General features: G+C 36.1%; 1 annotated feature.

The window, feature by feature from the left end:
* Positions 1,730-1,926: a silencer, noted in NCBI's record as "fragment chr13:86428461-86428657 (GRCh37/hg19 assembly coordinates)". NCBI's record gives its function as "represses an EF-1alpha promoter that drives an FKBP-Casp9 reporter gene in an ReSE screen in HepG2 liver carcinoma cells {active_cell/tissue: HepG2}" and the evidence as "EXISTENCE:reporter gene assay evidence [ECO:0000049][PMID:32094911]".

Here is a 21,690-nt window from a genome sequence, read left to right as displayed (position 1 = left end):
GTATTCCTTCTACTTATTAAAAAAATGTTAACTGTAAAACGGCCACAGGCAGGTCCTTCAGGATATATTCCAGGAGAAGGCACTGTTATCATGGAGATGACAGCACCATGTATGTTATTGCCCCTGAAGACCTTTAAGTGAGACAAGATGTGGAAGCGTAGACAAATGTATTAATGATCTTGTAGGCCTAGGCTAATGTCTGTGTTCATGTCTTTGTTTTTAATTAAAATAATTTGTGCTAAAGAGGAAAATGTTTATAGAATACAGGCATGCAGAAAGAAATATTTTGTACAGCTGTACAATGTGTTTGTGTTTTGCATTATTACCAAAGAATCAAATTTTTTTTTATTTCAAATTTATAAAGTAAAAAAGTTATAATAAGCTAAGGCTAATTGATTATTGAAGAAGAAAAAATGTCTTTTTAAATAAATTCAGGGTAGCGAATGGTATAGGGTTTATAAACTCTACAGTAGTGTACAGTAATATCCTAAGCCTTCACATTCGTAGACACTCACTCACCAACTCATACAGAGCAACTTCCATTTTCTGCAATCTTTATTCATGGTAAGTGTACCATTTTTAAATCTTTTTAAACAGATTTTTACTATACCTATTCTATGCTAATGTGTGCTTAAATACACAAATACTTATCATTGTGTTATAATTCCCTGCTGTATTCTGTACAGTAAGATTCTGTACAGTTTTGCAGCCTAGAAGCAATAGGCTATACCATGTAGCCTAGGCATGGAGTAGGCTAGCCCATCTAGGTTTCTGTCAGTACACTCTATGATATTCACACAAACAATGATTATAGAATTCAGGTGATTACTTAAATATGCATTTCTTAGGAAGTGTCCCTTTGTTAATTGACATATGACTGTATTTTAAACAGAGGAGTAAGATTTTGACTACCCTGTTGAGGAGACAGTGCAGGGAGATTGGATAGAAGCATGAAGGTCATTTGTCTGGTGACAAATGATATGAGCTAATTCTGGGGTGTTAGAGTTGGAAGCAGTAAAATGTGGTGAGATCTTGGATATATTTTAAAAGTAAAATCTATATACTGACATATTGGATTTGCTGACTTATTGGATGAGGTATTTGAGTGGAAGGGAGAAGTTAAAAATGACTACAAATTCTTCACTTCAACAATGAGAAGACGGTATTCCAATTAACTAAAAAGTCATGATCAACTTTTGGAAAGCGTTGAAAAACAGTACCTCTGTGTATTCTATATTCTCTTTTCTTAAAAATCCCTTTCAGACAAATTTAAAATTTTCCAGCTCTAGGACATACATAAGGAGAGAGCTGCATCTCCTGACATTGCACAGGTGTTAAAATCTCATCTATACAGTCCCTAGAGAAGCAAATCTCCTTCTTCACCCACTGCTGCAGCAGCATGAGTTACGTGTGTGTTTACTAATATGTTTTTGAGTTTCCTCTTGAATTTGGGGCCCTGTTTTTATTGTGGTGGTTTGTTTTATGAGAAAAAAACACACAAAATTACTATATTTTAAGAACTTTTCTCTCACAATGATGTCACAGGATCCTTAGGGTGTCACTTTTCTGGCTGGAAAACTCTGTGGCCAAGGGTGCTTTTGTTGGGGCTTGCTAGGCTCATTCCACCCACTCAGCCCCACAGGCTGCACTCAGCTCGCACTACCTGCAGAGATCCTATGTCTACCAAGGGCAAGCCGGCACAGAGCAGTAAGGCGAGTGTGAATGAGCACAGGGTCTGGCCACTGTGCACAGCCAGGAGTGCCGTCTGCCACAGGGCAGGGAGCTCCAAGCACCAATACAGATGCTGGCCCTGTGCGAGGCTGCGGCTGGACCAGGTGTAACGCAAGTGTCTTCCACTGTGGGTATGAGGAAACCTGGTGGTGCCCAGAAGCTTGGAGAGGCCAGGAACTGCAGAGCCGTAAAGAGGGTGTCACAGCCCTGGCTTGGAGGTTCCCTAGGTCTGGGCTTCTCTAAGGGCCACAGCCCTTCTCTCCTTATCACCCACAACACGACAAGTGGGGGAAGTGTTTCAGCTCTGTTTGTGTTACGCCTCTTTCAGTCCTGCCATTCAGTGGTCTCCCAGTTCTTGTCCCATGTCCAGGAAGAATGAGGTATGCAGATGACTGGAAGGTGAGTAAGGTGGAGAGGAGCTTTCATTGAGCGACAGAACAGCTCTCAGGAGACCCAAAGTGGGTAGCTCCTTTTTAGGTAGCTCCTTTCTGCAGGCAGGTCATCCCAATGAGTGTACAGCTCTCAGTGGAGAGGAGACCAGTGGTCTCCCACTGTCAGGGAGACTAGAAGTGGGTAGTTCCACCCTCAGCTGGTAGTCCTGACATCTTTCTGAGTCTGGCTGAATCAATTCTATGGGCTCAGAGGGAGGAAGTGCATGCTGATTGGCCCATGGGTGGGCCCCTAAAAAGCACCATAAGTTCTCACTCCCAGCTGCAGTCTCCACCCAGAGCTGGCAGCCTGGCCCCCGGGCTTCAGGCCATCCCTGTCTTGAAGGTTGGATTTCACGAGGGACCCACCCCTTTCCACCCAGGAACCTGTCTGCCTCCTGCCATCAACATGTTGTCCAGGTGCCCAGGCAGTTCAGGCCGAGGGGTGCCTGCTGGCCCACACCAAGCTGCCCTCAGCCCTTACCCAGCATCCCTCCCATGTTCGTTAGTGTCCAAAGTCTGAAGGTGGCTGAGGCAGTAGGGGGCTGGGGTGTCAGCACTGACCCAAGTACACACACACCCAACCAGGTCAAGACAGTGCCCGGGCTAGGCCAAAACTTTGCTCAGCACAGGAGTGGGCACTTGGGGTTGGGGAGAGGCCAGAGAGTGGGAGTAGGCACTTCAGAACCTTCAGGACCAGGGACTTCCCAAACCTCTTAGAGCACAGGGGCGCCCGGGTCTGGATCTATGCCTGGGCTGCTGCAGCTGCACCTGGGAGACAGGGGAGTCCTGCCAACTCATAGGGGGTGGGGCTGTCACCTGTATCCTGCTCCTGCCAGACCCATGTAGCACATGGCTTCAGCCTCACCCCCACCCCCTTGCTGCAGCAGACGACTCCCCAGCAGCTGCTTCAGAAGGGCTTACATTGCCAACAATGATTTGTAGCAAGAGTACAAACAATCACCAAGTTTATCAAACCTTCCACAAAATACAGTCCCTTCCAGTAAGGTAATCAGTCCAATACAAATAAAATATCCCATTGTATGAGTATATGTGCTTGTATATTTCAGTACTATTTTCTATTTTTACTTTATTTTCTACTAACTGTGATTTTACTTTAACCCACTTTTTTCACTCAGTTGATATTGTGGAAAAAGAGAGAAGAAAAATGCATAATATTACAGTATGGAGGAGAGAAGAAAAACCAGAAACAAAAAGCACATGATAGTAAAGTTCTAAAAGTGCTATCTAAACTTAGAAAATAATGATGGAGTCCCAAAAATTTAATGAAAGATATATACATACTATATTTTGCACAAGCATACAGACACAATGATTTATCATCAACAATAGATGCTGTTCCTTTTTGCAGTCAACAAAGATCCTTTACCTCATTTTCAACTACTGGTGAATCTAGATATCAGCAGCTTATTATAGGTGATTGTCTTTGAATTACAGGAGTCCTTTGTCGGTAATGTAACACCTTGTCAAGTAATATTTTTATATGCTGCACTTGTAAATACGCATAAAATATTCACAAGAGCCACATGCATAGTTTTTCAGCAATCCTTAAAAAATAATCTTTGAGCAGTCCCCAGCTAATTTTACATTCCTGCGAAACAGAATAATAACCAGAATATATAAAGAGCTCAAACAACTGTATAGGAAAAAATCTAATCACATGACTTTTTAAAAAGGGCAAACAATTTGAAAAGATTTTTCTCAAAAGAAGACATACAAATGGCAAACAGGCATATGAAAGGTGCTCAACATCACTGATTATCAGATGATATTGTTTGGCTCTGTGTCCCCACCCAAATCTCATCTTGAATTATAGTTTCCATAATTCCCATGTGTTGTGAGAGTTACCCAGTGGGAGATAATTGAATCATGACGTTTTTTCCCCCATACTGTTCTTGGGGTAGTGAATAAGTCTCATGAGATTTGATGGTTTGAAAAGGGGTTTCCCTTTCACTTGACTCTCATTCTCTCTTTGCCTGATGCCATGTAAGATGTAACTTTGCTCCTTCTTGCCTTCCACCATGATTGTGAGGCCTCCCCAGCCATGTGGAACTGTTAGCCAATTAAATCTCTTTCCTTTATAAATTACCTAGTCTAGGATATGTCTTTATCAGCAGTGTGAAAATGGACTAATACATCAGATAAATGCAAATCAAAACTTTAATAATATATCATCTCATCCCAGTTAAAATGGCTTGTAACAAACGACAGGCAATAACAAACACTGTTCAAGAGAAAAGCCAAAAATTTGCTGGGGATATAAAAACGTCAAAGTCACTGAAGTATCTAAAAAGATAGCAGTGATGTACTACATCATTAGATACATTGATGTAGCTAAATAGATGATAAATAAATGCATATATAGTAGTTACATAAATATTTACTACTTATATAATGCAAACATCCTTTATACTCAGTGATTGCCTTTTAACTTGTGAGGTAATAACATTTATTGATAAAATTTGTGAAGCTAATTGGTGAAATTTTTTAAAAGATATTTTAAATTATCAGCTCAAAGTATTCACTAAAGATATCAAAAGAAAAAATTAAGAACAGTTTAATACATGAATAAATAATGGATTAAATCAATATTAAGGAATTATGTTGATGTGGTTTGCCTGTGTCCCCATCCAAATATCCTCTTGATTTTAGCTCCCATAATTCCCACATGTCATGTGGGAGGTAACTGAATCATGGGGGTAGGTCTTTCCTGTGCTGTTTTTATGATAATGAATAAGTCTCATGAGATCTGATGGTTTTATAAAGGGGAGTTCACCTACACACTCTCTTGCTTCCTGCCAGATAAGACGTGACTTTGCTCCTCATTTGCCTTCCACCATGATTGTGAGGTCTCCCCTGCCATATGGAACTGTGAGTCAATTAAACCTCTTTCCTGTATAGATTATGTAGCCTCAGGTAAATCTTTATTAGCAGTGTGAGTACAGACTAACACAGTCAATTGGTGCCAGGAGTGGGGCGCTGCTGTAAAGATACCTGTAAATGTGGAAGCAACTTTGGAACTATGTAACAGACAGAGATTGGAAGAGTTTGGATGGCTCAGAAGAAAACAGAAAAGTGGGATAAAGTTTGGAACTTCCTAGATACTTATTGGATGACTTTGACCAAATGCTACTCATCTCAGGTGGAGATGAGGAACTTCTTGGGAACTTGAATAATGGTGATTCTTGCAATGTTTTAGCAAAGAGACTGGTGGCACTTTACCTCTGTCTAGAGATCTTTGGAACTTTGAACTTGAGAAAGAATATGCAGGGTTTCTGCTGGAAGAAATTTCTAAGCAGCAAAGCATTTAAGAGTTGATTTGGGTGCTGTTGAAAGCATTCAGTTTTACATAATCACAAAGATATGGTTTGAAGGAGACACTTATGTTTAAAAAGGGAGTGGAACATAAAAGTTCAGATAATTTGCAGTCTGGTGATGCAATAGAAAAGAAAAACTCATTTTCTGAAGAGGAATTCAAGCCTGCTGCAGAAATCTGCATAAGTAACAAGGAGCCAAATGTTAATTGCCAAGCCAATGGGGAAAATGTCTCCAGGGCATGTCAGAGATCTTCACAGCAGCCCCACCATCATAGGCCCCGAGGCCTAGCGGGAGAAAAATGGTTTTGTGGGCCAGACCCAGGGCCTTGCTGCTTTGTGCAGTCTCAAGACTTGGTGCCCTGCATCCCAGCCATAGCTAAAAGGAGACAATGTACAGCTCAGGCCATGGCTTCAGAGGGTGCAAGCCCCAAGCCTTGAAAGCTTCCACGTGGTGTTGAGCCTGTGAGTACACAGAAGTCAAGAATTGAGGTTTGGGAACCTCTGCTTAGATTTCACAGGATGCATAGAAATGTCTGGATATCCAGGTAGAGGTGTGCTGAAGGGATGGAGCCCTCATGGAGAACCTCTGCTAGGGCAGTGTGGAAGGGAAATGTGGGTGGGACCCCCTCACAAGGTTCTCACTGGGGTACTGCCTAGTGGAGCTGTGAGAAGAGGGCCACCATCCTCCAGAACCCAGAATGGCAGATCCACTGACAGATTGAACTGTGCACCTGGAAAAGCCACAGACACTCAACACCAGCCTGTGAAAGTAGACAGGAGTGGGGCTGTACCCTGCGAAGCCACAGGGGAGGAGCAGTCCAAGACCATGGGAATCTATCTTTCGCATCAGCATGACCTGGATGAGAGACATGGAGTCAAAGGAGATCATTTTGGAGCTTTAAGATTTGACTGCCCCACTGGATTTTGGATTTGCATGGGTCCTGTAGTCCCTTCATTTTGGCCAATTTCTCCCACTTGGAACAGGTTTATTTACCCAATGCCTGTACCTCCATTGTATCTAGGAAGTAACAAACTTGCTTCTGATTTTATAGGCTCATAGGTTGAAGGGATTTGCCTTTTCTCAGGTGAGACTTTGGACTGTGGACTTTTGAATTAATGCTGAAATTAATTAAGACTTTGGGGGACTGTTGGGAAGACATGATTTGTTTTGAAGTGTTAGGACATGAGACTTGGGAGGGGCCATGGAAAGAATGATGTGGTTTGGCTGTGTCCCCACACAAATCTCGTTTTGATTTGTAGCTCCCATAATTCCCATATGTCATGGGAAGGACTGTGTAGGAGGTAATGATCCACAGGGGCTGTTCTTGTGAAAATGAATAAGTCTCCTGGGATCTGATGGTTTTATAAGGGGAGTTCCCCTGCACACTCTCTCTTGCCTGCCTTCATGTAAGATGTGACTTTGCTCTTCATTTGCCTTCTGCCATGATTGCATGGTCTCCCCAGCCATGTGGAACTGTGAGTCAATTAAACCGCTTTCTTTTATAAATTATACAGTCTCAGGAATGCTTTTTTTATTAGCAGCATGAGAACAGACTAATACACATATTTATAAGATTCAGTGACTGACCATGAGGTAAAAGAAAAATTATACCTACTTAAAATATGCTCAGTGAGTAATCGTGTTTGTATTTGTGGTGGGGGTGAATGTGTTGTATTTAATTAAAAATATAACTACACTCAAAGTAGCAAAAATACTGAAAGTTTTTGACAATTATGTTACAAAAGGTGAATTAAAGCAGAATTTCCTAGAACAATTTTAAACATCACCCTTCTGTAAGTATAGTGTTGGAAAAGTTTCCAAGACACTGCTATTTGAGGTTTTCTATGACTAGATGAAATTTAGATATAGTAGCTTATGGTTAATATTATCTAAACCCTTATAGTTATAGAGAACTAGTGTATTTATATCCTCACCACTTAAACGATTTCTGTATGTTTTTGGCTGTAAATTTTTAACATATTGATACAAAATACATTTAATTACCAAACATCTAAGAAGTTTTATCAACATGTATACTAATTGAAGAAAGAAAAATGTAATCCAAATCCCATTAATTTTCATGTTAATTTATTTTGTTTTTCAGAGTCATATGGACATGGTGCTTGAATACAGTATAATAACTTACATTTCAATAACCTTATAAGTAGAAATAATTTTCCAAACATTGTTCCCCAATATATATATTATTACATGGCTACAACTATTAAAATCATAACCTTTTATTTTTCTATGTGTTCTATAAGTCTAAGACATTTACCAAGTTTGTTAGTTCCAGTAGGGTATTTTTTGGCAAACTCATCAGAATGTTCCTAAACACTCCATTTATAAAGTTTATTTTGACAGACCTGATACTGCTGATACTTCTATAGCTACTTTTAGGTTTGTTCTTACAAAACTGAGAAGGCACTGAGGAATAAGTGCAATGCATCAAAACATGAATATTTTAGTACTTTAGCAATTCCTCCTGAGTATATTGCAGAGTACACCAAGCTAAGTGCTATTTAAACCATGTCAAGGAAAAAAGTAGCAAGTATAAGATTTCCTAAACTGATGCGAATCAGCAAGTGCTTTCCTTAATGAAGTTATTATAATATAATTTTGTGAATGATGATGGATAAAATGATTATAATATTTTTCATAAATCGGTAAAATAATTTTTGGTTATTTTGGCAGTTTTAGAGGAGATGGTTGTAAATTATATAACATTTTTAAAATTATTCTCATAAGTGCACATGTTCAAACCTGTTCTGTTTGTTAATGGATTCTAGATTTTACACCTGACAGGCATTTAAAGCACAATGATTATTGTTTCTATAATTTAAAAACAGAAACTCTCAAAAGAAAAATAACAGATAACCAGGCTTAACATCAGATTTTTCTGAACCTTGATAGCTTACTTTTTCTTCCTGTTTTCCTTTCTTGTTGGATGGCAAACAGAAAATGGGTTTCATTGCAACCCTGAAAAATTCTATCAAGTTTAAAATGTGATGGATAAAAATTAGAAATATTTTATATAAAGTACCTAAAAAGAATAGTAAATCACATGAAATGTAAATACCATTATAAATTTTCTCTTGAGCATATTTTAAATAGGATACGATTAAGAGAATTCTATAAAGGTATTTGAGGATATGGAAAAAAGTTAAGTACAAATAAAGACACTTTAACTGAACAAAGGTCACATAAGGAGAAATGCCCAGATTTCAATAATAATTCAATATTGAATAGCTGTATCATAACATGGATTTTTTCTGAAAATATTAAAACTAGGTTATTTCAAAACAATCAGGCCTAAAAAGAAGCAGTAAGAGCTATATATACACAGTCAGCCAGCCATCACGCTTCAAAGCATCTCGGTTAACTGGATGGAAGGTCTTGCTATTAAATTAACTTCTTAAGTTAACAACAACAACAAAAAGCCAGCAAAAATATATTGCTCATGAGACAGAGAGAGAGACTTCTGTTCCTGTTGCGTTGGAGATCGTTGCAATATGTTACTTTCATACTAACCACATAACAAGACAGACCCACTAAAATATCATAGTTTCTCTGAAACTATCAGAGAACCAATACGCAAAGACACAGAAGTGGACTCATTTACAGAAAGTGATCAGCTTTTCAGACGAGAGTAGATAATTTTGTTCTCATTATTGGCATTGTTGAGAGGAGGCAAACCCACCACAGAAGGAGATAAAGAGAGATGACAGAAGTGCTGAGAGAAATTCTTCTTACATATTCCATCAAAGAACTCTCTATAGGCATAGAAAGCATAGGTCAAGACTAAAGAGAAATAAAATATTTCCCCACTGAAGACAAAGCTAATGGTGGGATATAGAGCACAGAGAGATCTACAGTCTGGAAAGGGGAGGCTCAGCTGTAAAGAACAGAAAGATCTTTGGAGTCTCAGCTTTCTTCAGAATCAAAGTCCCACAGAAGAGAATTTTTTTATCTTATTTGTAAAAACATTTGAACCCAATGGTAAACCCAATCAAATTAAACTTTCGAAAATTACCAGATTCTACTCAAATACAGGTAAGATTGATTCAGCTTCCCACTCAAGTAACCTGGCACAAGACAGAGCATGTTCTTTAAAAAGTTTAACAATATTACTTCCATTTTAAAAGACACATAAATAAGCAAGAAAATATAACACATGATCATAAGAAGAACCATCAGTAGAAGCAAAGATGTCTCTGATACTAAAATTATCAGAAAGTGAATTTCAAGTACAATAAAAATGCTATGTAAATATCTACTGAAAATTGTGAACAATATGTATGAAAATATGAGGAGTTCCACTAGAGACATAGAAACCAATTTTTAAAAAATAAAATAGAACAAAACGTTAAAAACATAAGATCATATATAAAGAATTCATTGATAAAAAAATTAGATTGGACTCAACAATGAAAAAAAAAGACAATGAACTTTATGTCAATAGAAAATATTTATACTGGAAAACAGTGAAATAAGACCAAAAAACAAAACATTTTTAAAAAATGAAATGGCCTAAGCCGGGCACCTGCAGTCTCAGCTACTCTGGGTGCACTTGCATTCTCAGCTACTCTGGTGGCTGAGGCAGGAGAATCACTTGAGCACAAATGTTTGAGGCTTTGGCACACTACAATTGTGCCTGAAGAGGCATAATTAGCCACTGCACTCCAACCTGGACAACAGAGTGAGACCTCATCTCAAAAAAAAAAAAGAAAGAAAAGAAAAAAGAAAGAAACAAATTGAATGACTTAGCTCCTATGTTATTGTGTGGCAATAAAAGAGAAGAGAGAGAAAATTAGACAGGAGAAATAAAGAGATAATTGCTGAATGCCTTCAAAAATTGATGAAGGACTTCCACTCAAAATTGAGAGCTCGGGAAACCCCAAGCAGGATAGATGCAAACACATTCTCTGCAAATATAGGTAGATACCCAGATGCAGACATTTGCCAAAACTCATCATCTGAACAATTTAGATTAGTACAGTTTATTTTAAATAAAGTATTTAAATGAAGTCACTTAATTTCTAATATAAGAGTGAGAAAGAGTAAAGGTAGGATAATATATAAACCCATTAATATTCTTATTCCACTTAGTATGGTAAAATTTCTTAATTCCTATAATATAGTTAAGTTCAAAGGAAATTAGATTCACATAATTTAATTTTTACTGAAGGAAATAACATTTAGAAAAAAATTTGGGTAACAGTGAAAAGTATAGAGGCTGAACTATGTGATAAAATCACTTGGTGGTAATGAGTCAATGCCAAGTAAAGAAACATCTATAAAGAAACTCTATAAAGGAGAGGAAGTTAAAGAGAAACGTGGATAAGAGCCGGGCACAGTGGCTCATGCCTGTAATCCTAGCACTTTGGGAGGCCGAGGCAGGCGGATCACGAGGTCAGGAAATCGAGACCACCCTGGCTAACACGTTGAAACCCCGTCTCTACTAAACACAAAAAATTAGCTGGGCGTGGTGGCGGGCTCCTGTAGTCCCAGCTACTCGGGAGGCTGAGGCAGGAGAATGGCGTGAACCAGGGAAGCGGAGCTTGCAGTGAGCCAAGATCGTGCCACTGCACTCCAGCCTGGGTGAGAGATCGAGACTCCGTCTCAAAAAAAAAAAAGAAATGTGGATAAGAGAGACACAGTTTATCTATTAATATTTCTATTGTTTCCCAGACATGCCATGGTAATATATTTAGGTATCTGCCTTGCTGACACTTTGATGAATTAATAAATGCTTTATTTTCTGAATACTGGTATAATTCATTCTTTTTATTCTTTTGAAATTATATTTATTCAAAGCAAATGCTGTCTTTTGATAAGCAAAAGAGTACTAAAAACAGGTGACTTTGAAATAATCCCTTCCATCTAAATTTTATGTGTCTATGACTGCCTTTCTGAAACTTTCAAAAACCTATTCCAGGAAATGCTGCCTGATCAGATGATTAGAACAAATTGAAAGTCAAATTAGAGTAGGGAATAAAAAAGTTGACGATTGTCTTATACAAAACATAGTTGTCCACTGCCTGTGTCTGAGCCTGTAATTAGCATTAACCTTTCTTGTGGAAAATCTATTGAGCATTGTTGATACAATATCTGGTATTTATAAGGAACTTCATAAATATTGGTTGAGTTTGATTTTTTATGCATATTTTAAGTGACTCTGCTCTATTTACAGCAATAACCAGAACAAAGGGAAGAGCATCAGTCAGCAATGAACAAGTAAGAACACTTCTGGGGTCCTCCAGAAGGGACATAATGACCTCAGGTTCCACTTTTTATTATTATTATTTTTTATTATTATACTTTAAATTCTAGGGTACATGTGCACAACGTGCAGGTTACATATGTGTACATGTGCCATGTTGGTGTGCTGCACCCATTAACTCGTCATTTACATTAGGTATATCTCTTAATGCTATCCCTCCCCGCTCCCCCCACCCCACAGCAGGCCCCGGTATATGATGTTCCCCTTCCTGTGTCCAAGTGTTCTCATTGTTCAGTTCCCATCTATGAGTGAGAACATGTGCTGTTTGGTTTTTTGTCCTTGTGATAGTTTGCTGGCAATGATGGTTTCCAGCTTCATTCATGTGCCTACAAAGACATGAATTCATCATTTTTTCTGACTGCATAATATTCCATGGTGTATCTGTGCCACATTTTCTTAATCCAGTCTATTATTGATGGACATTTGGGTTGGTTCCAAGTCTTTGCTATTGTGAATAGTGCCGCAATAAACATATGTATGCATGCGTCTTTATAGCAGCATGATTTATAATCCTTTGGGTATATACCCAGTAATGGGATGGCTGGGTCAAATGATATTTCTAGTTCTAGATCCCTGAGGAATCGCCACACTGACTTCCACAATGGTTGAACTAGTTTACAGTCCCACCAACAGTGTAATAGTGTTCCTGTTTCTCCACATCCTCTCCAGCACCTGTTGTTTCCTGACTTTTTAATGATCGCCATTCTAACTGGTGTGAGATGGTGTCTCATTGTGGTTTTGATTTGCCATGTCTCTGATGGCCAGTGATGATGAGCATTTTTTCATGTGTCTGTTGGCTGCATAAATATCTTCTTTTGAGAAGTGTCTGTTCATATCCTTCGCCCACTTTTTGATGGCATTGTTTGTTTTTTTCTTGTAAATTTGTTTGAGTTCTTTGTAGATTCTGGATATTAGCCCTTTGTCAGATGAGTAGATTGCAGAAATTTTCTCCCACTCTGTAGGTTGCCTGTTCACTCTGATGGTAGTTTCCTTTGCTGTGCAAAGCTCTTTAATTAGATCCCATTTGTCAATTTTGGCTTTTGTTGCCATTGCTTTTGGTGTTTTAGACATGAAGTCCTTGCCCATGCCTATGTCCTGAATGGTATTGCCTAGGTTTTCTTCCAGGGTTTTTATGGTTTCAGGTCTAACATTTAAGTCTTTAATCTATCTTGAATTAATTTTTGTATAAGGTGTAAGGAAGGGATCCAGTTTCAGCTTTCTACATATGGCTAGCCAGTTTTCCCAGCACCATTTATTAAATAGGGAATCCTTTCCCCATTTCTTCTTTTTGTCAGGTTTGTCAAAGATCAGATGGTTGTAGATATGCAGCATTATTTCTGAGGGCTCTGTTCTGTTCCATTGGTCTATAGCTCTGTTTTGGTACCAGTACCATGCTGTTTTGGTTACTGTAGCCTTGTAGTATAGTTTGAAGTCAGGTAGCGTGATGCCTCCAGCTTTGTTCTTTCGGCTTAGGATTGACTTGGCAATGCGGGCTCTTTTTTGGTTCCATATGAACTTTAAAGTAGTTTTTTCCAATTCTGTGAAGAAAGTCATTGGTAGCTTGATGGGGATGGCATTGAATCTATAAATTACCTTGGGCAGTATGGCCATTTTCACGCTATTGATTCTTCCTACCCATGAGCATGGAATGTTCTTCCATTTGTTTGTGTCCTCTTTTATTTCGTTGAGCAATGGTTCGTAGTTCTCCTTGAAGAGGTCCTTCACATCCCTTGTAAGTTGGATTTAAAATTTAGCAAACCTGCATCAGTTTATTGTAACTGAAATCTTGGACCTTGGGATCCGATGGGCCTATGTGTAAAGTAAGTGCACTATACTATAAGCTTCACATTATTTGCCAACAATAATACTGTAAAAGGCATTTATGAACAACGTAATTTATATTCATTTAAAATAAATAAGAAGCTGAAATTGTTTGCTATTGGAATAGGTTATTTCACAATATCAGTGCACTGTTTATTTCTACATATGGAGCTTATTCTCTTTTTGCTAATCTGAAAAAATGGATGTTTTTCTTGTACCTTATGGATTTTTTAAAAAATGTTATCTCCATTGTACTATGAGCTTTGAGAAGAGAACTTTATTTATTTTGAGGCACATTTTATCTGTAGCCTATGGACAAATGACAAATATTCACCAAATAAATGAAGTAATGACTTTGGCAAAAAGTAGTTGAAAGTGTCTTTTTATACTGTCCTTCACCAGAGCAAGAATAATTAGATTATTTGAATTCTGAAGAAATAGAGCTTAACTGAATCCTAATAACTCTTTCAAGTATGTTTCAAATCATATCACAGTTTTCTAGATTTACAGACATTCCATGTAGCCAGTCTCAACTCTAGAAATATGTCATATATCAGATCTGTGTGTTTTCCAAATTTGTTGTATTTTTTCTCTTCTTGGATAAATTTCCCTATGAGAAAATATCAGAATGTTACAAAATTGCTGAAGATAAGATTTGATGCATACTTATTGTAATTATTTTAAATATATGTGTACTAAGATTCACATATTACTGGATGGTATATATTTAATCTAATAGAGTTTTCTCTGTACTTAGTGTTAAAAAAAATTAAAGTCACTTTTAGTAACATCTTAAAAAAAAACCCAAAAACTTCCAACAACTTTTCTTATATTACTCTTGATGTCCTAGATCCTGAAAATACTGCTGAATTATTCCAATGAAGATTTCAACGGAATTATTTTTGAATTACTAACTCTTAAACTGAAGACAGTCTGTAAAGGATATAAAGTAAGAAAAGGGTAAGCACCTGCTTTGAAGTGTAGTTTCAGACAGCCCTGGAGTGGTATTAGTCAGTAATTCTAGTGTCATTGTGAAAGAAAATGTCAATGTCTTCTGCACAATAAAAGTGTAGTGATATTATGGGTTTTTGAAAGAGAGTAATGACTGCAGTATTTCATCTAAAGCATGTCTCTAAGAAACTGAAGCTTAACCGAGATGGTCAGAGATACTGTGAGGATACTAAGGTGCTAAAGACATATTTGTGTATTTTATTTCTGAGAACACCTTAGATAACTATTTGCTTTTAGTTTTAGATTTATGAAAGAGGAGTAATCTATTTCACTAGTCTGCAGATAAATTGCAGAAAAAAGCATCCAAGCTAATACTTCTAATTTTATATCTTATACAGACTGTCTTCATTTTAACTTAGTAATTTAAAAATATTTCCATTGAAATATTCATTGAAATAATTTAGCAAATTTTTTAGTCAATATGTTTATGTCATTGTTTATAATGATACTTGCTTATAGCCTCATTGTTGCTTTTACTGAAATTTCAAGAACCAACAGCAAGAAAGTTAGACTGAAAAGAGAAAGAAAGCTTCTTAAAGTCAATGGTAATATTTAATTATTTTTGTTTTTCTGCCAAAAACAAACAGTTTTAGCAATCCTTTGAGGTAGCAGTCTTAATGGGGAATATATCTACCCCTTTTCTTTATGGATTTCTATATTACACATTACGGATATCCAAAATTTCTAGTGGTTATAAAAAGAAATATGCCAGATAAAGTAAAACTGAATTCTATTCACACTTTAATTTTGCTTTTTGCCTTTTTTATGATATCTATAATTTCCTCTATTTCACAGGTGTTCCATCTAAGAGAGTCTCCTTAAGGCAAGAATAGCTGAAAGGCTTTTTTAGAGATCATAATGTTGAACACAGAAAAAGATGTGAAGTAAAGATTAGGAGCTTGTTTTATAATGCTTAATATGTTTTGGGTTAAAAAATCCTGAAGACAATACTTTAAATCATCTAGACATAAGTGCCATGGGGAAAGATAGTAGTATATTCTTAATTAAACACATGACAGTAAATTATATACCTAAAGAACTGGGTTTATAAAAGCTGCTGGTGAACAATTAGTAAAAAAGCAATGTAGAATAATAAAATGATGCTCCTCTCTTGACAACTAGCACAAGGTGAAAAGAAGAAAAGGAAGTTAAAGGATTCTGAGTATCTGTTCTTCCAAAATAATAACTAATTGTAAAATCTCACTCATTGTATAATTGATGGGTGTTTCAACATTAGCATTTGTTGAAAAACTAGATGACTATATTAGAAAAATATTCTATTTTTAGTTTTTACAATAAGAAAAAAATAAGAATGTCATTGGAGATTTATTTTAAAGATTATTTTGTAGAGACTTTTTAGGTTATATAATGTTATGATATAAAGGAAATTATTTCAATTGGACTAATTCTATTGATCTTGCTTTAATTTTCCCATATTCATTATAGTATTTTTCTTGTACAATGTTAAAATATGATCAATTGAGATAAAACAATCCATCTGTCTCAGAGTTTAGAGGGGTGTGTGTGTGTGTGTGTGTGTGTGTGTGAAAAATTACAACTAAGTCAAAGATTTTTTTTATTATTGCAAAGATCTGTGCATAGTATTTTGTCATTTGGCCTATGCAATACACTTAAAGGATTCACTGGAATGTACTTATAGGTACTTGTAATAGGTGAAGAATTTATGTAAAGTTAATTGGCAGCCCCTAATCTTCAGAATATTCTAAACAATTCCTTCAGAATAAACAGTTCCTCACATATTCTCCTTAATGCACCTGCCTTGACAGCCTTTGTATACACTGTAGGTCAATAGATGGCATCAGTTTAAACTATAATTCTCCTCACAACAACTTACAATTTAGTTACCATGAAAATTATATCCTAAGTGGATGCCACCATGCTTATAAGCCCTATGAAGAGTCTCAGAGTCTCCCTTATACTTGGAATCATTCTGAGAAGAAAATCTACTCTCCCTCTCAAGATCTTGTTTTTCCCAGCCATGTTGAACATGTAGAATGCCCTTCTAATATACTCGCATTATGACTTAAGACTATCACCTGCTCTATCTTGCTTAGCCAAAATATAATGTCTAATCCTGTGAACAAATAATATCTCTCTCATATTTTGTCACCAGGATTATGTGCAGAAAAAGATTTAGTTACTAGTGACCTCATTTAGAGAAGGATTAGAACATATATGAAGAAAAACATAATACATCCTGCCATAAGAACATATGTAGAAAGTCACATAGCAAGCATCCTATTTCATTCATTCATTCATTATACTGTCATTGAACGAATTAGCATTAAGTACCTACTATGTCCTAGGAATTTAAGTCACTTAAAGCTTTAAATGTTATGCCTTACATAGAACATTCCTTACCCAATTTAAAATTTTAAGATTATAAAGTTAAGAAATTATTTTGCTGGATAAATTTCTAATGGCTTTTACATTGATCTTTTTAGTTCATATAAATTTTATTAGGTAATGATTGAAGCAGAAATGTAGCCTTGTTTTTATTTCATTTTGTTAACAATTTTTATTTCCAGTTTAGTAAAACTGACTAAACAGTACTTCCAAACCATTTGTTAAGTATTCTGTCATTTTCCTAACAATAAAAAATGTAATCTTCATTGTACATATATACATAAACATATATTAACACACTATATATATATATACACACACTATATCTAGATGATAGAGTGCAATGGTTATAGGCTCAAATTCTGAAGCCAGGTTCCCTAGGCTCAAACCTTGGTACATATATGCTAAGTCAATTTGGCTGGTTATTTAGCTTTTGTGTGCTTCTCTTTCCTCATCAAAATATTAAAAGTATAAGAAATAACTCTTATCAGTGCTATTTATATAATTTAGTTAATATATAAAAATATATAGGATAGTCTCTGGTAGGTTAAATTAAATAATTAGGTATTTTTATTTCTAGATTCACATAAATTTATTTATTCCCAGCTTTTAGTTCTGTTTTTTTCATGTGTTCACTTAATTTTTATATCTGTAAGCTTAGCCCTTTCCCTTCTCCTTTACCTTCTTTTTTTTTTTTGGAAATTTATTTGCCAATCTAGCATATTTACACCTCTAGTTAAATGTTATGATCAATTCCCGTACTCATATTTACATGGAAATCATATATTAATTTCAAAAGAATTGACAATATGTAATATTGGTTTCAATAATCCAGAAACATGAAATGTTCTAAATTATTCCAGACATTCTTCCCTGTTCTTTAAGTAGCTTTATTAACTGGGCTCCACTGTGCTGCCTTGGGGAATCTGGACCTGCACAGACATTGTGTTGCAGCTCCAGAGAAAAACTGTACTAGCGAAATAAATGAACTTAAACAATTTCAGAAGAAGGCACAAAATTATATAAGCCTATACCTAGGTTGGTTTAAATAAATAATTACACAATTATTTTATTTCATTTTTATTGCATTTTAATCATTCTTATGATATAATTCACATGCTATAAAATTCAACTTTCTATTGTATAAAATTCAGCAGCTTTGGGTAATTCACAAATTTGTGCAGCCATCACCATTACTTAGTTCCGGGACATCTTCATCAGTCCCAAAAGAAAACCTGTATCTTTTAGGAATCATTCCCCATTTTCTCAACTTCCAGCCCCTGGCTACAACTCCTATCTACTTCTGTCTACTACCTTCTCCAGGAATTTGCCTACTCTGGACACTTTATATAAATTGGATCATATAATATTTTTCCTGTTGTGTTGATTTTTTCCACTTACCATAATATTTTGAAAGTTCATCCATATTGTAGCATGTATCAATATTTTATTCATGTGTGTGTGGCTGAATAATATCCCATTGTACAGCTATACCATATTTTTTTTAATGTTTTCATCTGTTGGTGGGCATTTGAGTTGCTTCCATGCTTTGGTTATAAGGAATAATGCTGCTATGAGCATTCGTGCACAAAATCTTGTGTGTTCTTCTTCATTTCTCCTGGGTATGTATCTAGGAATGGGTCTAAGTTAAACTCTGTTAAGTTTTCAACACATTTTCATTTGCCTAGAGAACAGTCACCAGTAGCGCTTGCAGCGGCAGCGTTTACCCCGAGATAACACACAAGATTTGATATAAGAAATTCTTTTGCCACCTTCTAAATATTACAGTGCTGAACCCCTACATCCTGTTCAAAAAGGACAATCCTGAGCACACAATGAGCCAAGTAAAATTCAGACTGATGTTGATTGAAAGTATGCTGGAAAAGCATCACAAGCCAGGACATCAATGTCTTCGAGGTCGTCCATGCTCTGATGATGTCACAGCTCTTCGCCTCTCTGCAAGACATTTCTCCGAGAGCACAACACCAAATTCAGGGAAACGGAATCCAACTGGTCCCCGCAAAGTTTTCTGCCCACACAATGACAAGAGTGGCAAGAAGATCGGAGAGAAATGCAATATTTTTGTGCAGCATGTGATGTTCTGTTTTGTGTTGTTCCTCGCTTTGAAACTTACCACGTGTAAAAAAAAATTAAATGCCAGTCATCATCTACATTTCTGTTACAAAAGGATTAGAGACAAGTTATGTTTATAAATAACTCCAAGAACAGTTTTTCTCCTTTATTTTCACATTAAAATTCGGTCAAATTTGCTTCAGCCTCAAAACGTGTGTTTATATAAACTTAAATGAACACTGGAAGTGAGCTGCACTTTCTTCTAAACAGGAAATGAGTTTTAAAGAACTTCCAAACTGTTCTTCAATGATACTGCATCATTTTACACGCCCACCAGCAATATATGAGCCTCCCACACAATTATTTTATTATGTTTAGTGTTAGGTATTCAATAATTTTCTTTTCAGTTTGAATAATTTTCCATAACATTCTCTACCCAATTATACCAGCCTTATTAGAACCATAATATTTTTGCATATCTAACATTTAAAATATATTATGCCTTCTCTTTAGATGTAGAGGTTTCCAAATTAATATTTTAGATCTACGTATAGCATATTCTTTTCTCTCAGTGCTTAAATGATTCATTATGTTGTGACATACACTTGGGACTTTAGGTGAGGTTTCAATTATGCTCTTAATTTCTCCCTCTTCCTAGTACAATACCTACTTTTTCCCCACTTTTTTCAATTTATTTATGATTTCCCATTTCTATCTTTTCCTACTTTCAAAGAAAGAGAAATAATTATCAGTGCTTTATAGTCATTCTAAAAGCAACATAATACTCACATATGTCTACACATGATACAGCAACTGGGCTCGAATGTGCTCCCTTGGGGAACCTGGACCTGCACAGACATGGTGTTGCAGCTCCAGAGAAAAACTGTACTAGTGAAATAAACGAACTTAAGCAATTTCAGAGGAAGGCCCAAAATTACATAAACCTATACCTGTGTGAAAGTTGCATATGTTTGATCGAAATAACAAAGTTTACTGTAAAAGGGAAACCCATTCATTTGAATTAGGAATTAGTTGCCGATCATCACAAACCTTGCAACTTCAGTTGTTTCATTAGATCTTTTTTCTCTTTTAAATACTTTAAGATTAGTAAAGTGCTGGGAAACTACAAAACTAGATTCTTGTAGAATTATCAGAACTATAAAAATATAGAAATGGAAGCCCATGAAAGGTGTAAAAAGAATGAGAAATATAAAAATACATTTATTACAACAACCATTTTTGTTTTAGATTTGCTTTTAGTTTTATATTTACAGTAATATTGTGCATATGTTTGATTTTATTAGCTTTTTAAGATGTGTATAATAATTAGAATCAGAGTCATTTGGTTTGAAATTTTAAAGAGATACAAGACTTTGCTAAATAATTGCATTATCAATGCATAGGTATCTGGGAAAGATTAGTACATTTAATCAATAATTATTATTTAACAAATTATGCATTAAAGTATTTAGGAAAATTTTAATTCTTTTGCATTTAAATAAATGTTAATTACTTCAAATTCATGTTTGATTATTCAGTGTTATAAATCAAGGCTTGATAGTAATTAGTGTTTTTCTTTTTTTTCCCTTGAATATTTACTTCATATATTTCTGACAATAGATAATCCTCAGATCATACCACAGCCCTTTAATGGCATATTGCATCATCTTCCTAAATCAGAAGAGCTAGAAATTATTAAAAAACATAGAAAATGTTTTTTCAAAAGTCTTTGGGCTATGGATTTTGAAGCCATGTTTGTCTTTTTGTTTTGTTTTTGGAAACGTATTCTCACTCTGTCGCCCAGGCTGGAGCGTGGTGGCGCCATCTCAGCTCACTGCAACCTCCGCCTCCCAGGTTCGATTCTCCTGCCTCAGCCTCCCAAGTAACTGGGACTACAGACGTGCGTCACCACACCCAGCTAATTTTTTTGTATTTTTAGTAGAGACGCAGTTTCACCATGTTAGCCAGGATGGTCTCCATCTCCTGACCTCGTGATCCACCCACCTAAGCCTCCCAAAGTGCTAGGATTACAGGTGTGAGCCATGGTGCCCGGCCATGTTTGTTTTTTTAACTTTACTGTATCTTCACACTCCAAGTTCTAAGAAGACAGCAAATGTACCATTTTAGCTTATTCTCCTGTACCCAAACACACAGGAAATAGACAGCCTTTTTTTTTTTTTTAAACTTTTCCTTACTAACCACAGTAGTGCACTCTTACCAACAGGGAATCTGTTCCAAGCCCCCAGTGGCTGCCTAAAACCACAAATAGTACCTTACCCAATGAGACTATGTTTTATGTTTTCATTTTAAAATATTCCTCTACACGTTAACTATCTATTAACCTGTTTTTTAAAATATTTAAGGTTAATGCCTTAAAACTGCCGGATGGTGGCCTATAAAGACCAGATGTGACTTTGTGTTTTGCATTTCTTCTGAAAAATACAAGTTGAAACTGTCACCCCTTTCTTTAATAGATTTTCTACGTAGTGTGTTTATAGCAAAATTATGCTATAGAATTTACTATGATTAAAATCCAGTAGATAAATCTCTTCCAGACCAAATCTCATAATAGGCAATGAATTGTGAATGCATGTATGAAAGTAGCTATTCCTTTTTTCTACTTCATATAAACTAGAT

The sequence above is a fragment of the Homo sapiens genome, chromosome 13 (assembly GCF_000001405.40).
Source record: "Homo sapiens chromosome 13, GRCh38.p14 Primary Assembly".
NCBI classification, from domain to species: Eukaryota; Metazoa; Chordata; class Mammalia; order Primates; family Hominidae; genus Homo; species Homo sapiens.
This window is presented reverse-complemented; position numbering and strand designations above follow the sequence as displayed.